The sequence below is a fragment of the Homo sapiens genome, chromosome 6, assembly GCF_000001405.40.
Source record: "Homo sapiens chromosome 6, GRCh38.p14 Primary Assembly".
Lineage (NCBI taxonomy): Eukaryota > Metazoa > Chordata > Mammalia > Primates > Hominidae > Homo > Homo sapiens.
Window position 1 is genome coordinate 115995372 of NC_000006.12, and position 25667 is coordinate 116021038.

At 36.9% G+C, this 25667-nt stretch overlaps 1 protein-coding gene across 9 annotated transcripts in view, besides 1 other annotated feature; it reads right to left on the reverse strand.

The window, feature by feature from the left end:
• FRK (fyn related Src family tyrosine kinase) overlaps positions 1–25667 on the reverse strand; it is a 169577-nt gene that overhangs the window by 64223 nt on the left and 79687 nt on the right. For all 9 annotated transcript variants that reach the window (XM_011535656.3, XM_011535655.3, XM_011535654.3 and 6 more), the window contains one exon: positions 8506–8627. In XM_011535656.3, the coding sequence (XP_011533958.1) occupies positions 8506–8627 (122 nt within the window). The remainder of the gene's footprint in view (positions 1–8505; positions 8628–25667) is intronic.
• Positions 13433–13712: an enhancer, noted in NCBI's record as "active region_24976". NCBI's record gives its function as "activates an Ori minimal core promoter by ATAC-STARR-seq in GM12878 lymphoblastoid cells {active_cell/tissue: GM12878}" and the evidence as "EXISTENCE:reporter gene assay evidence [ECO:0000049][PMID:35858748]".

Consider the following 25667-nt stretch of genomic DNA (forward strand, 5'->3'; position numbering starts at 1 on the left):
ATAGCAATTTCTCACATGACTTATCAACTTCCTACTTATTTATTTAATATCTGAAATTGATTATTATAAAGCAGCATCCAAAGGGTAATAATAGGCATTATTTCTTTGTTATGTTTTCCTCCAAATTGCTGAAAATATCAATACAAAAAATCTTTTTAACAAACCAAGGTAAGCAAAAGAAGAAAAGAAAATTAAGACAAGTCAATATGAGGGGTTCACAGACAAACAAAAGAGGGAAAAAAAAGAAAACAAGCCTTGTAAAGAATATTTCTAGAAATGTTAGTTATGAATTTTCAGTAAGATAAAAGATTCTTCATGAACCAGTGCCCTAGAGGAAAAGGTTCTTTGCCTGTGCATCTGCATGTATATGTGTGTGTACAGATGCAAACACAGACACACGTGCACATAATAAAATGTTAATTTAACTTTATAGAGTATTTAAAACATTTGAAATATAACTTATCATTGGTAATGTTCAGAAAAGGCAGTACATACCATAACTCACAGAAAAAGTCACTTGCAATTATAGGCAATGATATTTGCAATTTAGCTGAACAAAACTAAATTATGACTTTAATTAAAAGGCATTTTCTAAGATGGCACCAACATGTTTAAAATTTAATACATTTTATATGAGATACTGGAGTTATTAACATAACATTCTCTTTCTGCAGCATGTGCACTTTTTAAAAAGCAAAACATCTTTAACCAATATCAAAATGCTCCCAGAATCCATAGAAGTTTCATTGCATAATAAATTCAAGGAGCAATATTTTTTTTGTTTTTCCAGTCATTTAATATGTGTCTCTTCTTGGGACATACAATTGTCTTTACATCTGTAGTTAATGGTAATACAATTACTGACAAACACTAGTGGCCACAATGTTCGCATTAATTTTGAATGAAGAATGAATGAATGGCTCAAGGGACTGATGATGAAACTTAGAACATTTTGTGATTGGACTGAGTCACATTCGAATGACTCTGAAGATCTCAAAAGTTTGAACAGAATCATGGTAGCTGAAGGGTCTGTATAAAGTGAGTTTAGGACGAACTCTGTGCCTGGCAGAGACATAGAGGGTCATACTAACAAGTGATATGTCCTTCTGATTGTGTTTCCTCTACAAAAGTCTTATTACCTGGAAAAAACTGACCTGTCAAGGTGTGAAATTGTCTTTCTAAAATAAGTCTGAAACACAGCAGATAGGAGGATTATTTGTAATCCTACATGGCCCAGACTTCTAAGGTTTAAGGCAGTGACAATGTCCTTGATTATCTCTGCACGTTGTAGACTACAATGTAAAGAGGTGTTTGTGTGGCTACTGATTTTACAAAACTCTACTGTAAACTATGAAGATAGAGAAGAAGCATGAAATAGAAGCAATAAAAACATGTTCTTCTACTGAAGGAGTTTAAAATCTAGTTTGAGATGCATATTTTTACCTACAATGAAAAAGCCACTCAAATTTAAATAAGTCTTTTAATTTGTAAGTTCAACATGAAGGATACACACAAGGTCAACAAGAAAGGAGACACAACTTTCCTAAGGAAGCTGTTACTGTTCTCATTACTTTTTGAATTGCCTTTAGAATTAATTACAAGGCATGCAGAAATATTTACAAAGTTACAAATCCAGAGTATCATTCAAGTTAATCATCCATATTATTCAGAAAGTTGCTTTGGATAATTCTGCCTACTTCCAAGTATCAAAGCTGCCCTTAATGAACACATAATTACCCCAGCTAAGGGATATCAAATAATTATCACATAAAGTAGTATTCTTTCTAAAAAGGCAGTTCTACCATTTGTGCAATACTTTGTACAATCATAGTCAATTACTTTGAAGAGCAAAACATGTATTTCGTTCTGAAAATTCTAATATGCTTATTTTTCCATTAAACTATGCCACTAGAGAGGCCTATTATATTCTCAAGAAGTGACTTCACAGTGATCACAAACTACTATTATAAAAGTCCTGCATACTCCATGGGAACTCCAAGTTCACTGTGAGGAAATTTTATCATAGAAAGTACTCTGCTCAAAATCAGCACAAACAAGTCTCCCTGACCAAAAAAAAAAAAGGAGAATGGCTATTTGTATGTTCACTCATATGTGTCTCAAGCACCTCTGAGATTATTTCCCTTGGTTTCCTCCCATCTCTCCGTAAATCATCTCCTCCTTAATACCTCATTTAGCCAAAGCTACCACTATCCCCCAATCCCTCATGTCAGAGATCTGACATCCATCCTAGAATCTCATTCTCCCTTATTTTGCCCCATTTCTGATTAGTCACCAGTTCCTGTCAGTTTTATCTTCTAGATATTTCTCACCTCTATTCTTTTCTCTTTGTTCCTCATAACTCTGTCCTGGTTCAAGCTCTCATTTATGGAGAAAGGAGACTGTGTAGAAAAGAATCCTGGGAACTCTTTCTGGATTGCAAAGCAAAGGGTTCACTAGGCCTGTCCCACTGTCACCCCATAGGGACTGCATCTGAACTCAGCTTCCCACAGGCCAAGTGATTTCCTCTTCTGAGCAAAAGAAGCTGCCATTTCCCACAGCACTTCAAGCTCATAGGTGCTGGGCTTTCCAAAGAACCTTGCAAATAACTGATAACTAAACTCAGACTGCTTAGCACCAAAGCAGTCTTTATCCCCAGTCCTTGGGCGACTCCCATACTTGCTCATAAAAGAGAAGAGCAACAGAGGGGCCCTATGCTTCTGGGGATGCCCTCTGCTAGAGCAGAGACAGTGCAGCCAGCTGAGCTTGGGATCTGTTGCTTCTGTCTGCAGAATGCTGATGGACTCTGCTCATCTTGCACCTATAATTTCAAACAGCAACTAGTGATTCCACCGTGTGTGTTCCTCTCATATCCCCCCGGACTATTGCCTACAAATCTCTCATCCATTCTCAACATCAAAGGTAACATCTAACAGACAGATTACACCAATTACTTTCTGCCTAAAACTTTGCTCTGTAGAACAAGGTCCAAATTCCTCAGTGTGATATACAAGGTCGTGAATAGTCTAGTTCCAACTTTCCTTTCCACACTTATTTTCTACCATCCCTCCTCGCCTTCATCCACTCCCCACATGCACCCACACACCTGCACTATCCTCCACCCTTCCAATCATTCCACAAAACACCAGAAAAACTCACAACTCTGTGCATTTGTCTTTGCCAGAAATAATAATTTACACACTGCCACCTTAAAACACAAATTGATACCTTCCCTGACTCCCCTCAGAGATTTGGCCCCTGCCCTCTCTTGTCTCACAACAAAATAACTGTATTGTAATTCTTCTCTAGACTGAGTTCAGGGACTGTGCCTTGCTGGTCTTGGCTGCCTTTCACTTACTAGAGGGCCTGGCACACAGTGGGCATACTGAATGCCGTTGAAGAAATAAACAAAGGTATAAGTATATGTCAACTCCTAGATGCATCACCTTGAATATTATTGATGAGCTCTTTTGCCTTATGGCCTCAATGTAGTCACTTTTCAATTATCTTCAATATATTATTGCTTGGTGCTGAACAGGTTTCACTGACGAAAAATGTGAAAGCTCTACTACTCTGTAGGCTTTTACGTGCAGAGTTGTCTCAAGTAAAATCACAGTATTCAATGCAGAATCTCCTCTGAAAAACTCAGCTGCAGCTCAATTTTAGACCCTAAAGTGCATTTTTTAAGTGTACTTTAAACAATAAATAATACTAATGCTTATAGAATACCAACCAGTAAATTAATATTAATGGTAATAACAATAATAGTTTCCTTTAAAGTAATTGATTGAAGTCAAGAAATAGCCAAACCAGTTGACATGCAGTTAGAATTTGGTATTTTTCATCAGAAAAACAATTCACTACCAATGACAAATAAGAGTAAGGTCACTAAAACTATCTGTCATGCATCTAATGAAGACAGATTCTCTGGCTACCACATATAATATGTAATATTCAAAAGCGCTGCTGTAATTCACAGCTAATTAGTGTCTTGCCATTATGAGAGGTGTCGTGGCCCTAACTCTCTTTTCAGATCTACTCAGACCTCACAAGAGCAGACAGCCGTGCAGGGATCACAACAACCCAATTAGCACCCACCCAACCTTGGGCTGCTACTTCTCAGCCCACTCAGCATCAATAAATCATGCACCCTCATGAAGCTCTTTTCTGACAGCTCCAAGCCATTGTTGCTCAAGGAATAAAGACAATACTTCTAAGGAAACTCAAGTGGGAAAGAAAGAGATAGAAAAGGGATATTTTTTGCCTTCCTTTAGCAGCACAGCAGTCAGCAAAATTGAAGACCATCAATTCAGACTGATTAAGAAGACAACTGCACTAAGAAATAAATCTAGAGTGGTATATCTGAAGATCCTTAGCAGTAATCAACAGTCAGCAATTGGGTTGTTTGTTTTAATGTGGATATATTGAAAGTCCTTTTTCTTTCCTTTCCATTTTTCTCCTGTATAGCCTTCCCTCTGGCTAATAGGAAAAATTTTCTTTCAGTAGAACATAATGGTATGCATTTACTTTGTCCCCCAGTGAATACATAGCAATCAGATAATTTGTTTAAAAGACTAAATTGTTTGACTTCATTGAAAAGAAATCATAATGATATGCTGGTCTCTAAGCAAGGCCTGCAGAGCTTCCTAAATCCATAAGCAAGCTCCAGAGTATTCACAGCACATAACAGCCAATATCCTTGTAATTTTTTTCTAAGCCTGTAAAGCTGTTTTGTTCCATAACATTCTACTTAGAGAGTATTCTGAACAGTCACTGTAGCCTGGCCATTATTCAAAGATATAATTCAGGTAATTCTACTTTAAGTTTGTTTTCCTCATGAAAATATCATTCTTTCTTTTTTTTTTTTTTTTTTTTTTTTTTTTTTTTTTTTTGAGACGGAGTCTCGCTCTGTCACCCAGGATGGAGTACAATGGCGTGACCTCTGCTCACTGCAATCTCCACCTCCCAGGTTCAAGCAATTCTCGTGCCTCAGCCTCCCTAGTAGCTGGAATTACAGGTGTGCACCACCATGCCCCATTAATTTTTATATTTTTAGTAGAGACAGGGTTTCACCATGTTGGCCAGGCTAGTCTTGAACTTCTGGCCCCAAGTGATCCACCCAGCTCGGCCTCCCAAAGTGCTGGGATTACTTACAGGCATGAGCCACCACACCCTGCCTCATTCTTCTATATTTTTAACGCTAATCTAAAAACATTTGATCTCACTTTTGACTAAATAGCTGCCACCTAATTTGACACTTATTGCCAAAGACAAATAAACAATCAGGGATGTATTTAAACAAGGAATTCTCTTATAACTCTTCTTATTAAGCATAAAGATTTCAAAAAGATTTTTCTTCCTCTGAATATATTACCATGAAAATACTCAAATATTCAACTATTTATCTGTAAGGATGTCCACTGTATCATATTTTATAGCAGCAAAATAATTAAAATGTACAAAATATACAATAAGTCAAATAAATGATGATATACCCATGCAACTTCTAAAAGTAATAGAAGAATATTAAAGGGCATGCAAAAATGTTCACAAGATACTGCAAGACAGAAATAAGAAATATGGAGCTTGGGCCGGGCGTGGTGGTTCACGCCTGTAATCCCAGCACTTTAGGAGGCCAGGGAGGATGGATCACGAGGTCAGGAGATTGAGACCATCCAGGCTAACACGGTGAAACCCCGTCCCTACTAAAAATACAAAAATTAGCCAGATGTGGTGGCACATGCCTGTATTCCCAGCTACTGGGGAGGCTGAGGGAGGAGAATTGCTTGAACCCAGAAGGGAGAGGTTGCAGTGAGCCGACATGGCGCCACTGCACTCCAGCCTGGTCGGCAGAGTGAGACTCTGTCTGAAAAAAAAAAAAAGAAAAGAAAAATGGAGCTTGGATCCATGTTATACACATACATGCATACATGCATGCACACACATATGTATATACATATGTCTGTACACATGTGTGTATATTTATCTAGATATAGATAGATTTATAGATATATACACTATTAACAAAAGTTAACCTGAAAGAGCCAGTCTTCAAGATGGATCCCAAGTGGCTAACTGGTCCTAAATTTAAAATAGAACCAAGGGTCCATTTGCTGATAGAGGTCACACACATACTCTGAGTTTCCTGAAAATCCACACCTCTTTAACTTTGGGACTTTCAGAACTTACTTGCCTTGGCCAATCATGACTCAGCTGTATCAACCAATCAGGACTCAACTTTGACAAACAATCAAGGTTCAGCTGTATTGACCACTCAGAACTAAGCAAGTTTGAATCCCTCATTTGCATAAATGAAACTGACTGGGAACCTGGGTAGTAACTTTTCTATGAAATCATAACCCTCCCTTTGTTCTCTGGAATGCATCTTTGTTTTACACAGAAGGCTGCATCTTCTGGGTCTGCAAATGTCACTGGAATAAAGTCTCTTCTTTCGAATTCCTTTTTGGAGAATTTTGTTTACAAAACATACACACACACACAAGTATTTCATTATTTACAAGCTAATGTTTGATGCAGAATCTCTTCTGAAAATTCATTTTCAGAACAGAATTTTTCAAAACAAAAATTGTGTTTTCTGTGTATGGGGGTATAAGTATGTATGTATATGTATATGTGCATAAAAATATACTTATAGGTCAAGAATTTTTAAAAATCCTGACAGGAAAAGTATTTCGATATTTAAAATGCATCTTTCGAAAGTCTTATTCTAGATTATTCTTCTTTAAGCTGTTTGCTTATAGAAAAGTTTTTTATGTTTCTTTCATAATGAGAAAAAAACATTGCTATATGAAATATTCACTTATATCACTTGGATATACAGATGTGGACTGGTGTGAAGTCCCAGCCTGGTGGAGCATCTTTTCTGAGTGGCTAATGCCCATCCCATATCAGTCATTAGATATTTTGATTATCACCTTGGGTATAAACAACATTTAAGGTAAGTGACAGGCCAGGCATGGTGACTCACGCCTGTAATCCCAGCACTTTGGGAGGCCAAGGGCGGTGGATCACGAGGCCAGGAGATCGAGACCATCCTGGCCAACATGGTGAAATCCCGTCCCAACTGAAAATATAAAAACTAGCCAGGCATAGTGGCACGCGCCTGTAGTCCCAGCTACTTGGTAGCCTGATGCAGGAGAATCGCTTAAACCCGGGAGGCGGAAGTTGCAGTGAGCCACTGCACTCCAGCCTAGCCATAGAGCGACACTCCGTCTCAAAAAAACAAAAAAATGGTAATTGACACATCACACACAATCACATTTCAAGAGTAACTGTCAGAACTAGCATACTCTAACCTCTTATCCATGGATTAGGTAGTAGTGAAGTTGAATCCATGTGGTTCTGGAGTACCACATTGTCTCAGTGTCAGCATAGTCAGGACCTGAAGTACGGACCCTCGGCAACACCTGCCTCAAAACCACTGCCCTTGCTTCTCTCCAGCTCCAACCCATCTGCCCTGATATTTGGGACTACCAGGTGTGGAGAAGGATAATGTGTACCAAATACAGACAGCCTGGCCAGAGTTCAGGTCAGATCAAAGTTCCCAATATATGTGGAATTATGGCCTGCTTTCATGCGGCATCATGACGGCTGCCCTGATTTCCAGCTCAGTGAGTCAGGCAGACACAATGAGGCAAATGGGCATCATGTTTAATCAGCATTTATTGCAGGGAAACAGGAATAGAGGGAAGCAAAGCCTCTCCCTCCACAAGGTTCACATCTAATTGGAGAAACAGAATAATACGTATTTAAAGGGGATGATAACACAAATGACAGACCTTGACAACACAGAGAACAGAACGGGACAAGAAGAGAGAAAGCCTCATATTTAGAGATGACTTAGTGTAGGGTCTTCAAGAAAAGATATTCTGCAACCTGGCAATATACCTAAAAATATAGCTTTTTCAAAGCAAAGACATATATTTAGGTACCTGTAACTACTGAGTACATTTTCAGGTCCCCTGTGCTTCTTTTCTCCTGGGGCAGTGTAAACACGTACTTGATCCTTAAGTGAAAAACTACATTTGACCAAATTTTACATATTATGGGGTTAATCACATATATTTGCATTAATCATTTCAATTCGTTTTATGTTTAACCAGCAAAGAGAATTGAAATGCCAGAAGAAGAAAAAAATTATATTGTAGCATGATAATTTTGACAACAGTAGAGTTTTTGTTTCTTCCTTATCATTTCCCTAAAAGAATCCTAGATAATGCAAAAGTTAGAAACTGTCAGCAGATCCATGTTCTCCATTTCATATCTAGAGCATATATATTTGAAACTGTTTATAGAGACTTCTAGCCATAGACAGTATCTTTTTGGCTAATTTTTATATTACTCTTAAGTAGTTTAGTATTAATTTTGGTGCTACTGTAAAGATAAGAAATAAGGCAAATTTTAAATGATCGTGTCCATGTTCACACAGAAAGCTCATGACTGCAGACTCTCAAGCTCATATTGAATGACACAAAACAATACCCTTACCTGAAAGAGAGAATTCTCCTTTTTGGCTTTCACTTTCTCTGATTAGAAAGGAACCGGTCTTGTTTTCTGAATATAATAGTTGTTTCTCTGCATCTGATCTTCCGATTGCTCCAAAGAACCACCTAAAAAGAGAGATATGTAAATGTTAAGTAACCAATTAACATTCATTTTTTAAGGAGGAAAAAGCCTGGCAAGATAGTATTCTAATATCAAAAATGTTTGGTATTCTTTAGTAAAACTATTACAGGTATAAATGGTAGCTTCTGACACTTGAGATGATTTTTCAGAATGCCTGTAACCCACACCAACATTTATTTTTTTTTACCTACAAAGCAGGAATTTGATTATGCCCACTACCACATCACTTCTCACAGCTGTGTTCTGTCTGAGAGGTCCTGAGCCTTCCCTCTATCAAAGCCAAAGCCCCAGTGTCTGCCTGCCATGTATGTCTGCCATGTCCCAGGCTCTAAAATGACTCATCATCTCCATCCAACCATCCACTGCTTCCCCTAACACCTCTGAGCTGTTAGGAGGCAAATATTCCAATCAAAGGATCCATGTACTTTATGTTAAAGTACGAAGGATTAAAAATATAGTTCTCTGGATATTAGTTCCTTTCTTTTCCCACCTCCACCACTGTCCAACCCTGCCATAAGATGAGATTATTTTGCATATCTAGGAGGAATTTATTAATATAAAGGAACATTTAAGCAGTGGAGAGATTATCTGAAAAAGATACATCTGCCCAGGAAATATCCTTTTAGTAATACCTCCACTTCTTATCTTTTCCCCTCTTATCTTTACCATTCCAGAAATATAAGAGTCAGATACTGAACACACAAGTTCATGAATGCAATCATCATCAACAAGGAATTATGGATCATTAATATCAAAGCCACTGTCAAATGTATATCATGTTAGTAGAAACCAATGTGTTCTAATAAGAGGAAGCTGAGAATTCCTGCTTTTCACAAATGACCCCTCACTGTAGGGCCATAAAAATGGTCATCATCATTAAAGATTTTAGGTAAAACATTGATCTTTTCAGGTAACTTCTTTAAAAATGTAAACACTCCAAGAGAAGAAATGCAGGCTTAAGGGAAGAAATACAGGCTGGGAGAAAAAAAAAAATGTGTGCTATCAAAATTTAACTTGAATTTGATTGACAGGTAATGGGTATTAGAGAATGTGAGTGCCCTAACAATGACACAATTGTAAGGCAGTTGGGGGAAGGAATTGAAAAGAGAGACATTAACATATAAATATTACCTTCTAACAAATGCAGGGTGTTCGTTTATCATTTCCCCAATTATCAAATTGTAAATTACAGTACATTAACTGTATCTGTCAGGATATGCCAGGTCATCTTGGAGTAATGAACAACTCCAAAAATCTCAGTGGTTTAAGACAACTGGTTTCACTCAGCTCCAGGTCTATTAAGGTACTCAAGGTCATCTGGAGCTCTGCTCGATGTCAGTCTCACTCAGGGAGTTTCTATCTCCATGCTTCCATGATTGCTGAGCCAGGATTGGAAAATGTGGCGAATCGCAGGCTGGTTCCTAGAGCTTCTATTTAAAGATTCTACTCAGGAATGAACCCACTGGCAGTAAGTCTTATAGTCATGTCTAAATGTAAAGAGAGTAGAAACAGCCAATCCCACCATTTCCCAGAAGGTAGAAAATTGGAAACATTTGGTAGACTACACTAATGACTGCTGCATTGAGTCAGTATCAGGAGCAAATTGATGTCCATGGACTATTGTTTATGTAACTGAAACCATGGAAGTCATGGAAACCTTCCAAAGTGGCCATGTAATGAATTCACAGAAAAACAGAAATGCATGTTTTTGATTATTGCAGAAACAAGTCAATAGAATACTTGAACATAGTAAAAAACTGATACCTAAATATACAAATTAGTGATGAAAGAATGGATGACTCAATAAATAACACTGTTATCATTAATAATCCATATGGGAAAAAAACTGATGCTACCTACAGCATACACAATAATTTCACATAGATTAAAGGCCTACTGTAAAAGGCAAACTTCAAAACTTCCTAAGGACATTGGACTAGGGAAGTTTTCTTTAGCAAGACAAAAACAAAAAGACATACAAACCTTAGGGAAAAGATTGATAATATTTATTACATCACAGTTAAAATCTTCTACACCAACAAGGTCACCATGAAATAAAATTTGAATATAAGCCAAAAACCTGGAAAAAATATTTGCAAAGTATATAACCCAAAATAGGATTAGTATTCACATTATGTTGAGACCTATAATCGATAAGAGAAAGACAACACAGTAGAAAAATTGGCATAGGATATGATGATGCCTGGATATAATTGGGCAGTTCACATAAAAAGAAACCCCAAATAATTAATAAAAATGACAGGAACACGGCCTCTACATGTGCTGGTATTAGTAATATTACATATAAAACCACAATGAAATACTATTTTATACTTTCACATTACAATTTAAAATGCTAACATTATTAGGTATTGAGGAAAATGTGAAATGAGCTTTTATACAGTACTAGTGGTAGTACGATTTGGTACAACTAATTTAAGAGCAATTTGGCACTATCTGGTAAAGCTGAATATTTGTGTACTACTCAATTTCACTTCTAGACTACATGCTGTATGAGCTCAAGAAGATACACTACAAGAACATCCACTAAAGAATCCTGGCATTGAAAATTTGGAAACAACCTAAATGTCCATCACAGGAGAAAAGATAAACAAACAGTTGTAGATATAAAATGAAATACTATGTAGAAATTAAAACAATGACTGGGCATGGTGGTATGCACCTATAGTCACAGGAACTCAGGAGACTGAGGCAGGAGGATCACTTGAGCCCAGGAGTTCAAGGCTGTAGTGCACTATGATCGCACCTGTGAATAGCCACTGCACTTCAGCCTGGGTGACATAGAAAGATTCCATCTCTCATAAAATAAATTAAATTTTTAAAAATAAATTGTTCAAGGATTAGAGTAAGTTAAAGAATGAAAAGAATGATATATACCATTGTAGTAGCATTTGTATAAAGTTTAAGAAAACACGTTAGAAAACTGTACCTAATTTTTATGAATACATGCATGTTTAGTGAAAGCTAATAAAGTACTCAAGCATTCTTTTAACTCTATTTCCAGAACTGGCAATACTTTTTCACAGAAATATTTCAAGCAAAGAAGCAATATGGATGAAATATCTTAATCAACTCAATGCATTTTCCTGATTCAAAGTGCATTGATTATGCATCAACACTAAAATGTTTAAGCAACATATTCATCTAAATATCTCTTTCATTAGTTCATTGCTCTCCATCTTTGCTAGCTCACAGACTGAAAGGCATGAACACTCTCCAGTGAGTTATTGGGACAAACCCTTCAATGGACACTACTCACTCATGCTTGCTCTCCAGTCTTTTCAAATAATGTTTTATGAGCACTCTCACATGCTCTTAGTTTACAGATGAGGAAACTCAGGCCCAGGGAAGTTTATTAACTTGAGACCGCATGGAGAGGTGATGGTTGAGTCTGAAATTGAGCCAAACTTCTATTTCGCATGCCACAGTACCTTGAAGTGTAATGTGAAGAGGATGAGTTGGGAACACTCAGATAAAATATGAACCATTATTTTTGCACCAGGCAAAGGGAATTTAGGATAAAGAACACCATGTATTTTGGTCCTCATTTCTTATTTTAAACTAGTAAAATTTGAGCATTTTAACAGTGTCTTAGATAAGAAATAATATACCAAAGCGGTTTTTGTCCCATATAATTGGTTTCTACCTTCAGGTTGTAAAGCTGAATTAGTATATAAAGTATCATACTCCAAAGATCACTCAGAATGGCATTGTCCTATTAATACACTATAATGTTTCTAATCTTCAACCATCCAGGCAATTTAATGGTTTCAATAACTTTCTAGAGGTGACAGTAATGCATATATGTTCAGAAACAATACAGCATTTGAAAGTTGGGGCACATAAATTTTAATGCATGTATTTAGAAAATATATAATTTACTTCTAAGTATGTTTTTATTTGAAAAAAATGAAGGGATGATGGTGCAAAAATAAAAATAAAAGGTTTAAACAAAATATAAATATGTAAGCCTTTACAAGAATTACAATGTATCTAGCAGATTAAGTTCTCCAGAATTATTATTATGTCTCCTATATATCATTCTCAAAACTAAATACTCCATTACATAAGTTTTATGTACATATGTTACATTTGTATTTTGGCTAATCAAGTCTATAAATGATGTGTTTCCTCTGTCCAATATATATATAAGCAGGCAGTTTTTATAAATCAAATGGTTAAAGATAAAGCAATTTTACTACATTTGTAGAAAAACCCTATAGCAAATTTTTTTAATCCTCCTTTGTTTCAACAATTTTGGACTTTTGTATAATAGATTGGTACAATTACTTTACAAAGCAAATCACACTAGAATTGAATCCATAGTAACAATGAAATAAATATAATATTTGACTGAATGCATCAATTCACTTAATTCCTAGAATTTTACTTAGCTGAGCTCTGATCAGGAAGTGAAGAATATAAGTTTAAAAATGTTTTCTGCATGTAGTGGCATTTATAACATCGTCCTTCATACTCAAAGGTGATGCAATTGCTGTGGACTGCAGTCTCTAGGGCAAGTGCTGCTGTGGAGACTGATGGATAAACAATAGCTTGTTCTACCCTTTGCATGTGTGAAAACTGTTTCTTAATTTGAGGTTTGAACCATTGGCAGGACTGTCATTCTGATCAAGTCTGCCTTTTAGAGCCTCTGCTGGCCCCATTCTGGAAGGGCACACACCCCAGGCCCGGATGTCCACCACAGCCATTTTCAGCTCTCTCTTTAAGCTACAGTTCTTACGTGCAGTAGACAGAGAGTGCTGAGAAGGGATCAAGATATCCTAGGAGTATAAAGCATCACAAGAGAGTCATACGGATCAGTGATCCTCCAAGTGTGGTCCCTAGATCAGGAGCATCGCATCACATGAAAACTTGTGTTAAAAGAAAAACCTTAGACAAATCAAATGTAACAGAGTTTAATTGAGCAAAGAATGATTCACAAATTAGGCAGCCTCCCAAGCCAGAGTATGCTCAGAGAGTCCAGTGCAGCCACTTGGTGGAAGATTTATGGACAGCAAAAGGAAAGTGACTAACAAAAAAAAACAGAAGTGAGAGACAGAAACAGCCGGACTGGTTACAGCTTGATGTTTGCCTTATTTTGAACAAGGTTTGAAGAGTTGGCCCCCTTTGATTGGCCAAACTCAGTGATTGGCACAAGAGTAGGTTACTGTCTGTTCATACATCCAGTAAGGTTATAGTTTACTATGCACGGAGAAACCTTTAAGCTGAACTTAAAATATGCAAGGAGACAGCTTTAGGCTAATACTTGTTAGAAATGGAAATTCTTGGGTTTCACTTCATACCTACCAAATCATAAACTCTGGGGGTGGGCCCAACAATCTGGGGTTTATTAAGTCCCCCAGCTGAATCTAATGTACATTAAATTTGAGAACTACTGATGTATAAAAATAGTAAACCAATTAGAAATTTGTACAAGGCAGCTGAGAATGTTTGAGTTTGGCACTTACATGCAAAAAAGTATCCAGTAAAATAATACCACAACTACTCACACACACACAGTTTATTGATATTTTAAAAAATAATCTTTATTGACATACCATGCCATGAAAGATATCTTTATTAACAATAACCAAGAAGAAGATTAAACTCATGATATGAAAAGAAATGCTGGAAGAAACAAATGCTTCAATTTGATAAAAACAAACAAAAAATATAATTTCTGTTTTAGATGAAAATAGTATGTAATTTAAGTCTATAATTATGTAAATTATCAAGTGTCTACCGTATGTAAATTCTGTAACATTAACACAGAAAGATTGTGTTATTTTCTGTGTCTGCAGGACATTGTTGTATAAAATGTGTCTGCAGGACATTGTTGTATAAAAAAGGGTAAATTACAAATATTAGGAGTGTTATAGGTTTATTTATATTTTAAAAAATCAACAAACTGGCCGGGCATGGTGGCTCACTCCTGTAATCCCAGCACTTTGGGAGGCCGAGGTGGGTGGATCACAAGGTCAGGAGATCAAGACCATCCTGGCTAACACGGTGAAACCCCATCTCTACTAAAAATACAAAAATAGCCAGGCGTGGTGGGCACCTGTAGTCCCAGCTACTCGGGAGGCTGAGGCAGGAGAATCGCTTGAACCAAGGAGGCGGAGGTTGCAGTGAGCCGAGATCATGCCATCGCCTGGGCAACAGAGTGAGATTCTGTCTCGAAAAAAAAAAAAATTCACAAACTAAAAATTATATGTGCTTACTTTCCTGGAGATTAGTGAGAGAATATGAAAGTAATGACAGAGGAGTTTCACTTTTTACTCTGCATTCTTCTCTATAATTTGGATGTTTATAATAACATGTAGTTGTAGATTACTTTAAAATGTATTTAAATATAAAAAATTAAAAGAGGTCAATCAGGAACATGCTACAAAAATTTACATGTTGTAAAGGTCTGGACTAGAAACTTTGGCACTTAGAATTGATAGATACAGGAAAAAATCCCAAAGGAATATAAAACAAGTGATTATGAATGAGCAGCGAAACAGATGGAAGAGACGATGTGACACCAGGATTTCAAATCTGAATGACTAAAGGACAATATGTCCTGCAACATGTCAGAAGGCAGAGTATAATAACAGTTAAGAGTGACAGCATCTCATTAGGAAGTTATTTAACCTCTCTATGCCTCAATCTCCTCATTTGTAAGTGAGAATAATAATAATTTCCTTATAGCCTTGTTTCAAGATTAAGAAGAATGCTGCATGTAAAGTGCTTTATGTCTCGACACATTCATGCTCAATAAATAGTAGAGATTTTAAGATAATTAATTGAAGGCAGATATTATCAATTTTGTTTTAGGCATGTTGGATTTGAGGTCATGCTGGGACACGAGTGAATATGTGAGCATGACCTTATTTCTTTGTTTGTATTAACAGTTTCATCCCAAGTGACTCTTCTGTCCTGCCTGCTGTTCTGGACTAGGACATGCTGCCACCAGGTGGCAGTAGGCCATTTTACTAATCCAAAAAGGGAAAGGAGAGCTGTCCTGTGATTAACTGGACGTGCTTTATTTTATGAAAAAGGCAGTGAGCCTTAAAAAAAAAAATTGCAGTATAAATGAATATCAACATTTACATAAGATAAATATCTTAAATATTAATCAAAATTTAGGGAAATCAACATGTAAATAGATGTGTTACCTCAATTAAGGTTTTGTCATTTCATCTAATAGAATCTTATTGTGCCTCACTGACGTGTACAAACTAGGTTCCTAGGTAACTCATAATTCTTATCAGATGAAGATAATTGCCTCTTACACTTTTTAAAGAGAAAACTCATGCCCAGCAACTGATGGCTAGGATTTACAAAAGTTAACATATGACTTCTTTTTATAATGTCTCCTTAAGACCAAGGCAGTCAGCCTTCAAGTACTATAGACAGATCCTAAAAAAATAAACTCTTAAGACTAGTTCCAGGAAAAAAAAAAAACATCCTTCCAGAAAATGCAGAAAGGAAACTGGGTCGATCAACTTGGCCTAACCAGTCATAGGGAAAGTAAGCTAGGATGATTTCCCTGTGGGAGCTCAGGGTTAGCAGTGTCTTTCATGTTTTCATCACAGTTACACATGTTATAATGGGTAAAACACCTATTGTCCTCATGAATGTGACTTGGCAGGCATCGCTGTCACCCACATTGGCAAAACACCTTCAATTTGCAGGGCACACTCATAACCACATTTAGTCATTTATGGTATCTAAATGAAAGGCTTGATTCATGCCCCTTGAACTATTATGGTTCGGTATGACTCACCTGCATCTACCTGTGTTTCCACAACACTATGAAGAAAATCTCTGTGAGAGTTCTTCCTGTCAAGGTAATTATTTCCCTCCCTTTCCACAAAACCTTCTTCGGCTCAGTATCCCCTTGGTTCCCAGGAAGTTAGCCCTGCTACTCTTTCCCACTCACATGGAATGATAAGGACAAAGAAAAAAAATAATGCTCGCAATTATTTTGTTATTCATTCCTTCCTTTCCATTTCCCTCACCATAACCCTTGTCTAATTCAACATCGCCTCTTGGATTATGGAAATATTTTACTGCCTGTTCTCTTTAACATTAACAATTTATATTTACTGATCACATAAAAGGAGGCAGGCACTGTTGCTACAAGCTTTACATGCATTTATCTCAGACTCTCCCCCTTGCTCACACCACCACCACTAGATTTATCATCTCCCCACATACACATAAATAAGGGGTATTTTGCTTATGGAGTAAAACCTCTATTAACCTGGAAATTCAGGCCTTCCACCATCTGGACACAAGCCACTTCTTCAACTTTATCCTCCCTATATCAGCCCTCTGTTCTAGCTAAATTCACACTGCTATCACTACTTATACTGGCAATACTAAAACTTGACTGCTCAGAATTCCTACAGTATTCAGTGACTACTCCTCTGTTTTGATATGTAGCATACAAAAGCTAGCGATGCATTTTAAATTCTTGTTTAGATTATTCTTTGTTTACACTTGAAGCTACAGACCTCCCCAGCATAAGGACAGAGTCTGATAACTTCACATATCTGTGGCATGAAGCACTGGCCACATGCCCTGTGGAGCTGTTAAATAAATACTTGTTGATGAAACATTAATACATTGTACTTCAATTTGGGCATTTTATATAGTCTTCTGGTTTATACTGAACATTGAACTTTAGATAATGCCTGTGTTTTTGTGTAATCTTTTATTTGAGCTTGCCACATAGCTTGCAGTATAAAGTGTTTATGGGAGAAGGCTTATCTGCTATGGACCAGTTGCAACACAGTTTCTAATGTTAATTGGCCTTAGACCACAGATTTCAATCTGACCTCTCTCTTTTCCCCCAAAGAGAACACTTTCATGTGAATGTAAAGATCAAAAATGAAATTGATTTTTCTGTCCTTTAAAACACAAGCATATCAGGGCTGTACACATGTAAAAAATTTGTGATAAAGTGACAATGTCAAATTAAGTATCAGAGGTAGGACTTGCAGTCACATAGAAATCCTTTGCTTGGGTCATTTGATAAAGCTTTTTTGTTGCTGTTATTCACCTTTATAGTCATCATAAATGAGAAATTTTGAAGGAATTTCTTTAGAGGGGAAGTCAGGTGAACTCATTTGTGCTTTCTTCACTGGGGGAGGTGACTATTTATAAAAGAATCTTGTTATAGTCTGAATCCACTTCCCTGAGTCTGGTAATCAAAAGTATGCAATTCCTCACAAGAAGTTTACAAAGAATACAACAAAGTTCATATAAATATTCAATCTCAGGGCACTTTTTTTGTTTCAAAACTATCCTCTATTTGGGGAAGAGGAAAAGACAGCTAATATTGATTTCTCTTTTAAAATAAAAAACAAAATGTGTGCCTATATAATGACATTTCCAATCATCAAGCCTGAAATAAAAATGTAAATTTTAATGCATCTGCTTTGATTTTGTACAACATTTGTGATAATGTTTGTCCCAGAAACTAGAAGAATATGGATGGGTTAGAGTTGAAAGCTTTAATCATTAATTTCTATCTTTGTCACATCCAAAGAAAGTAAATGCACTTGATCTTATGATGCCTAGGAAAATGCCTTATTTTATAAAATACCACAAATGTTCATTCCTATTCTCTATACGAATAAGCTTTGGGGCAGTACTATACTTCTTACATGGGACACTATATGGTTATACAGGACACTAATTTCAGAAATGACAGTCCCAAAGACCAAAGACCAAACTCAAGTCCCAACTCAAATACCAAATTTGAGTTTAGTCAGCTAGTAGTCATTGTGTGTAAACCATTCAAGAAGGGTCAATAATGTCAAGTGCAGCCTGCTCTGTATTCCCTGGATCCAGGTTTCTCTTGCAAAAAGTAAAAAAGAGGGAGCATCTTTCTTCCCTTTTCCTATACTAGAGGTGATATTCAAAATATTTTATGACTGCTATAGCACACACACACACCATCAGAAAAGACACCAGCAAAACTAGAGGCTTATGTCTAAGCTTCAGCCCTGGGGCTTATCATTTTAACACTCAGTGATGCACTATGATGTCACTGAGCTTCATTAAATCTCTTATCTCAAATAAAATATTGTAAACATCTTGAAGGTATCTTAACTTCATTACCTACAAGGTACTAATCATATCATTTTCTATGTGCTGAAATACATTAGAAACATTAATTTTATACTAACAATATGGAGAAAAGATAAAGCAAAAGAAGGGTATATAACTTTTCCTTTGAAAATCTTAGAGTATCAAGGGAGAGATAAAAGACCACTTTAAGTAACAAATCAAAAAAGAAAGTGATGAAACAGGAATTTAAAAATCATTTAATCATCAACAGTGTGTAGTAGGAAATTAACCATAGGCTATAAGGAGGATGGAAGTGTTCTTTTAAAAAAATATACTTTGAAAGGATTTGAAAGAGATACAGAAATCTAAAAAAATGAAAGACAAGGGTATGTGCACAAGTGAAGAAACCAAAAAGGTATTTGTGAGCAGATTGGTTTAATGAACAGCAGTGGTCAGGGAAAAAAAAAAAACCCAAGAAATATGGGCCTTTGATGTTTACAGATAATTCCATGTGGAAACTAACTCCATGGAAGAAGTAGATCTTTGGTAAATTTGAAAACTACAAAGGAGAGTTTTAAGATACTCCATTTAATATTTAACACAAAAGGAGTTTTAAGCCCTGAGCTCACCAGCAATATGAGGGAAAAAATGTGACTTGTTCTTTAAAAATTGTTTCACAAACAAATATGAGATGGAGATGTGGAGGGTGAAAGCAAAGAGGAATTCTTCCATGACTAGAAACAAAAAAGAGACTTGGTCCAAACTTTAGAGGTGAAAAGAAATTTTCATAAGGATCTACAGGCAAAGGTGTTTTAATGAGTACATGCATTTTTTTCCGGGGAGATAATCCATTGTTTTATTAAATTCTCAGAAATGCCTGTGAAAGAAACTAACCAACTCTTTCAATAAGGCCAAGTGTTTCTTCTGTATTTACACGAGCTGGTGCCAAGGCCACAACCACAACCTACCACCTTGAAAATCACTTATTCATTTTTTATTCAAAATTTACTTATTGATATGGTTTGGCTCTGTGTCCCCACCCAAATCTCTCTCTAATTATAATCCCCATGTGTTGGGGAAGGGACCTGGTGGGAGATGACTGGATCATGAGGGTGTTTCTTCCCATGCCGTTCTCATGGTAGTGAGTTCTCACAAGAGCTGATGGTTTAAAAGTGGCAGTTTCTCTGAACTCTCTCTCTCCTGCCACCATGTAAGATGTGCCTTGCTTCCCCTTCCACCATGATTGTAAGTTTCCCGAGTCTTCCCCAGCCATCCAGAACTGTGAGACAATTAAACCTCTTTTCTTCATAAATTATCCAGTCTCAGGTAATATCTTTATAGCTGTGTGAGAACGGACTAATACAGAAAATTGATAGCAGTAGAGTGGGGCACTGCTATAAAGAAAAACTGAAAATGTGGAAGCAACTTTGGAACTAGGTAACAGGCAGATGTTGGACAGTTTGGAGGGCTCAGAAGAAGACAGGAATATGTAGGAAAGTTTGGAACTTCCTAGACACTTGTTGAACAGTTTTGATCAAAATGCTGATAGTAATATGGACAATGAATTCCAGGCTCAGTTGGTCTCAGATAGAAATGAGGAAGTTATTGGGAACTGGAGTAAAGGTCACTCATGCTATGCTTTGGCAAAGAGACTGGTGGCATTTTGTCCCTGCCCTAGTGATCTGTGGAATTGTGAACTTGACAGAGATGATTTAGGGTATCTAGCAGAAGAGATTTCTAAGCAGTGAAGCATCCAAGATGTGACCTGGCTGATTCTGAAAGCAGTCAGTCATATGCATTCACCAAGAGATTATCTGAAACTGGAACTTTTATTTATCAGGGAAGCAGAGCATAAAAGTTTGGAAAATTTGCAGCCTGATCATGTGGTAGAAAAGAAAAGCCCATTTTCTGGGGAGCAATTCAACCCAGTTGCAGAAATTTGCTTAAGTGACCAGGGGCCAAATGTTAATAGCCAAGACAATGAAGAAAATGTCTCCAAGGCATGCCAGAGATCTTCATGGCAGCCCCTCCCATCACAGGTCCAGAGGCCTAAAAGAGAAAAATGGTCTCATGGGCTGGGTACAGGGTCCTGCTGCTCTGTGCACCTTCTGGACTTGGTGCCCTATGTCTCAGCTGCTCCAGCTCCAGCTGTGGCTAAAGGAGGCCAAAGTACAGCAGAGCACAATCTCTATAGTAGGTTGACTATAGTTAACATTAATCTACTGTTCCTTATTTGAATGTTCCTAGCATGAAGAAAAGAGAAATAGTTAAGGTAATGGATATTCCAATTCAGATTATATTAATGTATCAAATTATCACATGTACCCAGAGAATATGTACATCTTTTATGTACCAATAAAAAATAATTTTAAAAACTATACTGTCTAATCTTAATCCATACATGACACAGAGACACACACACATATATGTGAATGAGTGGATGGATGTGTGTGTGTGTTTGTGTGTGTGTGTGTAGCTGCAGATACCAACATGGATGTACAGATATGTACTAGTTTTACTGCTTTGGGGGGATTAAAATGAAGCAGGTGCCCCCAGGGAGTCAAGGTGTGAGACCTGGTCTGCTACAGGTCAGAACAAGCACACACGTTCTCTTTCTTTCTTCCTTCATTCTTTCTTTCTTTCTTTCTTTTTAATAATTTAGCCCTGTATACCCAGATACTCACTAAGCATTACTATCATGAATAATTACCAATAATAACACCAATGTTAATAACTAAAGATAGTTTAAAACCCATGTAAATGCCACCCACTGGACTTTGAAATAGTAGAAACTGAACACATCCACAGAGCAGCTTGTTCTCAAAAAGAAAGCCTGAAACAGTGCCAGAAAACACATCTTTTGTTTTCAGTGTCAACAAACTATTTGTCAGGAAACAAAAGGAAGGCTCTGCCTGCACTGATGGACTTTTCTGAAATCTGAAAATTAGTTTACTGCTTGCTCCTGCTTAGAATTACAGAAAGAAGCAGTTGCACAAATACATTACAAGCTTACTCCTCAGAACTGTTGTGGAAAAAGGCAGACTGAGAGAAGAAAGAGCCCCCACCTCCCTACCTCCCAACACACACCCGTGTTACTGTTAAATCAAGCAGAAAGCTGTCTCCTTACACGTTTTAAGTTCAGCCTAAAGGTTTCTCTGTACACAGTGAACTGCAACCTAAATGGATGTGCAAACAGACTGTAACCTACTCTTGTGCCAATCACCAAGTTTTGAGCAACCAAAGGTGGCCAACTGTTCAAACCCTGTTCAAAATAAGGCAAACACCGAGCTGTAACCAATCCAGCTGTTTCTGTACCTCTTTTCAATTTTTCTACATCGCTTTTCTTTTTCTCTCCATAAGTCCCTTTCCACCAGCTGGACTCTGTCTGAGCACACTCTGGCTCAGGAGACTGCCTGATTTGCCAACAGTTCTTTGCCCAGTTAAACTCTGCTAAGTTTAATTTGTCGAGGTTTTTCTTTTATCACTACCTAAGGATTAACCTTCTCTAGGGCCTCAGTTCTCAAACTCCAGTTTCTGAAGACTGTCCCAGGAAGTGTGTACAAGGCAAATAGTCTAAGAAGGTCGGAGGTAGAGCTCAGGATGCTGTAGGTTCCCAAGTGCCACAGGCAATTCAGAGGCAGGTAACCAAGGTACTACAATTTGAAAAACACAGCTGTTTCTAGAAGAGGGGGACTTTCTCTTAACATCTTCTCCTAAATCCTGAGTCATCCTGCCATAGCCCACCTTGCACCTTTTTCTCTCCAGTCCACTCTGCCTCACACTGCCTCACACTGGACCCCACTTCTTTATTTTCAACCCTTACAAAACATTACAAATTCAATCCAAATGCTGTATAAAATTTGTGAAGAGCAAAGCTTTAAGTACAATACAGAGCAGAAAACAAGTTCAAACAGATACCAGAAATTTCTGTTCATTGAAATTTAATGTCCTTTCTGCTGAAGAGGGAATTTCCCAAAACTTTTTCCCTTATGTCTAGGGCCCCCTAATAGGTTGCTGAGGAACCACTCCTCTTCCTCCTTTCTCTGTGCCAGGGATTTTACAACAAAATTCTCCATGTTTCTGTATGCAAAGCAGTTTGATTTCCTACCCAACCCTTACTCCAAACTAGATTCTGGGTCTCCCTCTGTATACCCCAGCACTTCTTAAATTGTTCTGCTCAATTAAGGCCCATCTATTCCATGTCTTTATTCTCAGCAGCACAAACAGCCAGAGCTTTGAAAACAGAATTTTCTTTAGCACATCAAATCCTTAGGCAAAGCTCTTCTCACACCATTATCCATAGCAGATGGTAGCAACAGAATTATGCATCCTCTCGCTGTCCAGAACAAGCCTATACCCTGGGGTAAGGGTGAAAGGCAGAGTCCTTCCAGTTATATTTGTGTTTTAAATAATTCAGTTTATTAAAATTATAAGTGTCTTGAAGTAGACTAAAATGTTTGCTCTCTTACAAAGTGTTTTCATAAGAGGATATACTCTAATAATACACAATGGAAATATTATTTGTAAATAGCATGTAAACTATTTATATACAAATATGTGTTTTGAGAAACTGAAATATTCCCTGCCTCAATGACTGCCTTACTAGTAAGCATATTGCAATTAAATAAAATTTTATTCCAGAATTTTAGTGATACAAAGACATTTCCACCATGCTCTTTGCCTGGGATAATTTTTTTTTAATCATTGAAATACTCAGAGCATAATAAAATCTGACCTGTTCACTGTGACCCAGGAAAGGATTTTAAAATCTTATAGATTTGAAGAGACCTGCTGTTGGAAAGAGGGCACAGTAAAGGAACATCCTAAAGCCTTAGAATTAGAGCTTCAAGTAAGCTTGAGGAGCATATTTCTCTGAAGGTGAATGATAATAGATTCATTGCACAAGCCAGCTCCCCTCTGACTTATCTCCAGTGCATTCTTTGGATGGCAAGGCAAGGGGCTTGTGGTAGGAAAGCCTTCCTCTACAGATCAAATGAGTCTGAGCACCTTGTTCCTTTCCTTCATAGCTCTTTCCTTAGCTTACTTTGTTTTTGGTATTATTTGATTAATTCCTACTTCCCATTACACATGTAAGCTCAAGAGAGTGGAAACCTTATCTTTTACTTATCACTGAAATTCCAAGAGCCTAGCACAACACATGGTATTAAATAAACTTGCATTCATACTGTTGAATGAATAAACAGATGATTATTTGAGGATGTGAGTCTTCCACTTGAAAGTTAAAAAGCTGACCAAATAATTTCAAAACGTAGGACAAGAATATAGAGAGAATATACTGAAGATTTGGTACAGAGAGCAAAAGAACAAGTCCACTTTTACCAGTAATGAATAACCTCATAGCCAATCAGATGATCACAATCCTATGACGACGATGACAATTATAACAATCATGTAAAGAATAACATTTGGATTCCACTTTATAATTGAGTGCCATCACCTAGAATATGGCACTTATTCTCAAGGCAACTCTTGGGGATAGTCAGAGCAAGTGCTTCAAAATCCCCACTTTGTGGAAAAGGGAACTAGAAATGAGAGAAATTGCATGATTTGTCATGCAGAAATAATAAGCAGAGCCAGTGTGTTGGCAGATGTGCAAAGCAGTTACATGTGACTTCACTAAAATTGTGCAGAATAGAAAGTGGGGAGTATGGACTTGTCCTCAAATAATAATACCACTCTACAGAGTGGGTCAGAAATAGCCAATAGTTATGACTTATTAAGACCCAAACTTCAGGTTCTAAAAATGTTCCTGTAGAATAACAGAATATCTGTTTATGAAGTTAAACATTAACTCCTATTTGTTATTTAGAGGTAGGCTTGGTTGCATAAGGATTAAAATTTGAAAACAGAAAGCAAAATGAGATTCAAATAAATATTTATTTGCAATCCTAAATGTGCAGCTATTACCAATAATAAATTATGATCTTAAAGAAACTTTTCTAAACTATCAACAACAAAAAAATTGATCAAACATTTCAAAAGTAAAACCAAATTATGATTTATTCCATCTATAGAAAACAGTATTACAAAATCATTGTGACATGAAGAGCCAAAGAGAATGAAGACAAAGACTACCATAAAAAAATTTATAAAAGACAGCTCATTAATATTTTATTATTCTCTAAATAATTTAAAGTGATCTCTTCTTTTGTCCTAGATCAATATTCCTTTTTTTTGTTTTTTGTTTTTTTTTGGAGTTTTGCTCGGACGCCCAGGCTTGAGTGCAATGGCATGATCTTGGCTCACTGCAACCTCCACCTCCTGGGTTCAAGTGATTCTCCTGCCTCAGCCTCCCGAGTAGCTAGGATTACAGGCACACGCCACCACATCCAGCTAATTTTGTATTTTTAGTAGAGATGGGGTTTCACCATGTTGGCCAGGCTGGTTTGAACTCCTGACCTCAGGTGATCCACCCACCTCAGCTTCCCAAAGTGTTGGGATTACAGACGTGAGCCACTGCACTGGGCCAATATTCCTTTTCTCAACAAATTCTGCAAACATCATTTTGTATCATTTTTCCTTAAGAGAGCTACCTCTCCAAATTACATATTCTATAGGCTCTCTAGATTCACCTGTGTTCAGAACTATTTTTGTAAACAGTAAATCGCAATGACAAGACACAATTTTTCCAACTCCTTGAGTTTCCATACATGTGCTTATAATAGGCATTTTTTAACTTTGCCTCATAAAACTTTTCAAATATATTCCAAAGTAGAGACAATAGTATAACCACTTTACCCAACATCCAGCTGCAACAATTATAATTTTTCTAATTGTATTTCTTGTGGTTTACTTTTGATATGAATACAGATTTCTAAACTGTGGTTGGTTTCTAAACCTCAGTTGGGAAATTGAAGTAAAAAAAAGGACTAATAAAAGTTCAGTGGTTTCATGTTTGCTTTGAAATGTAATATTTT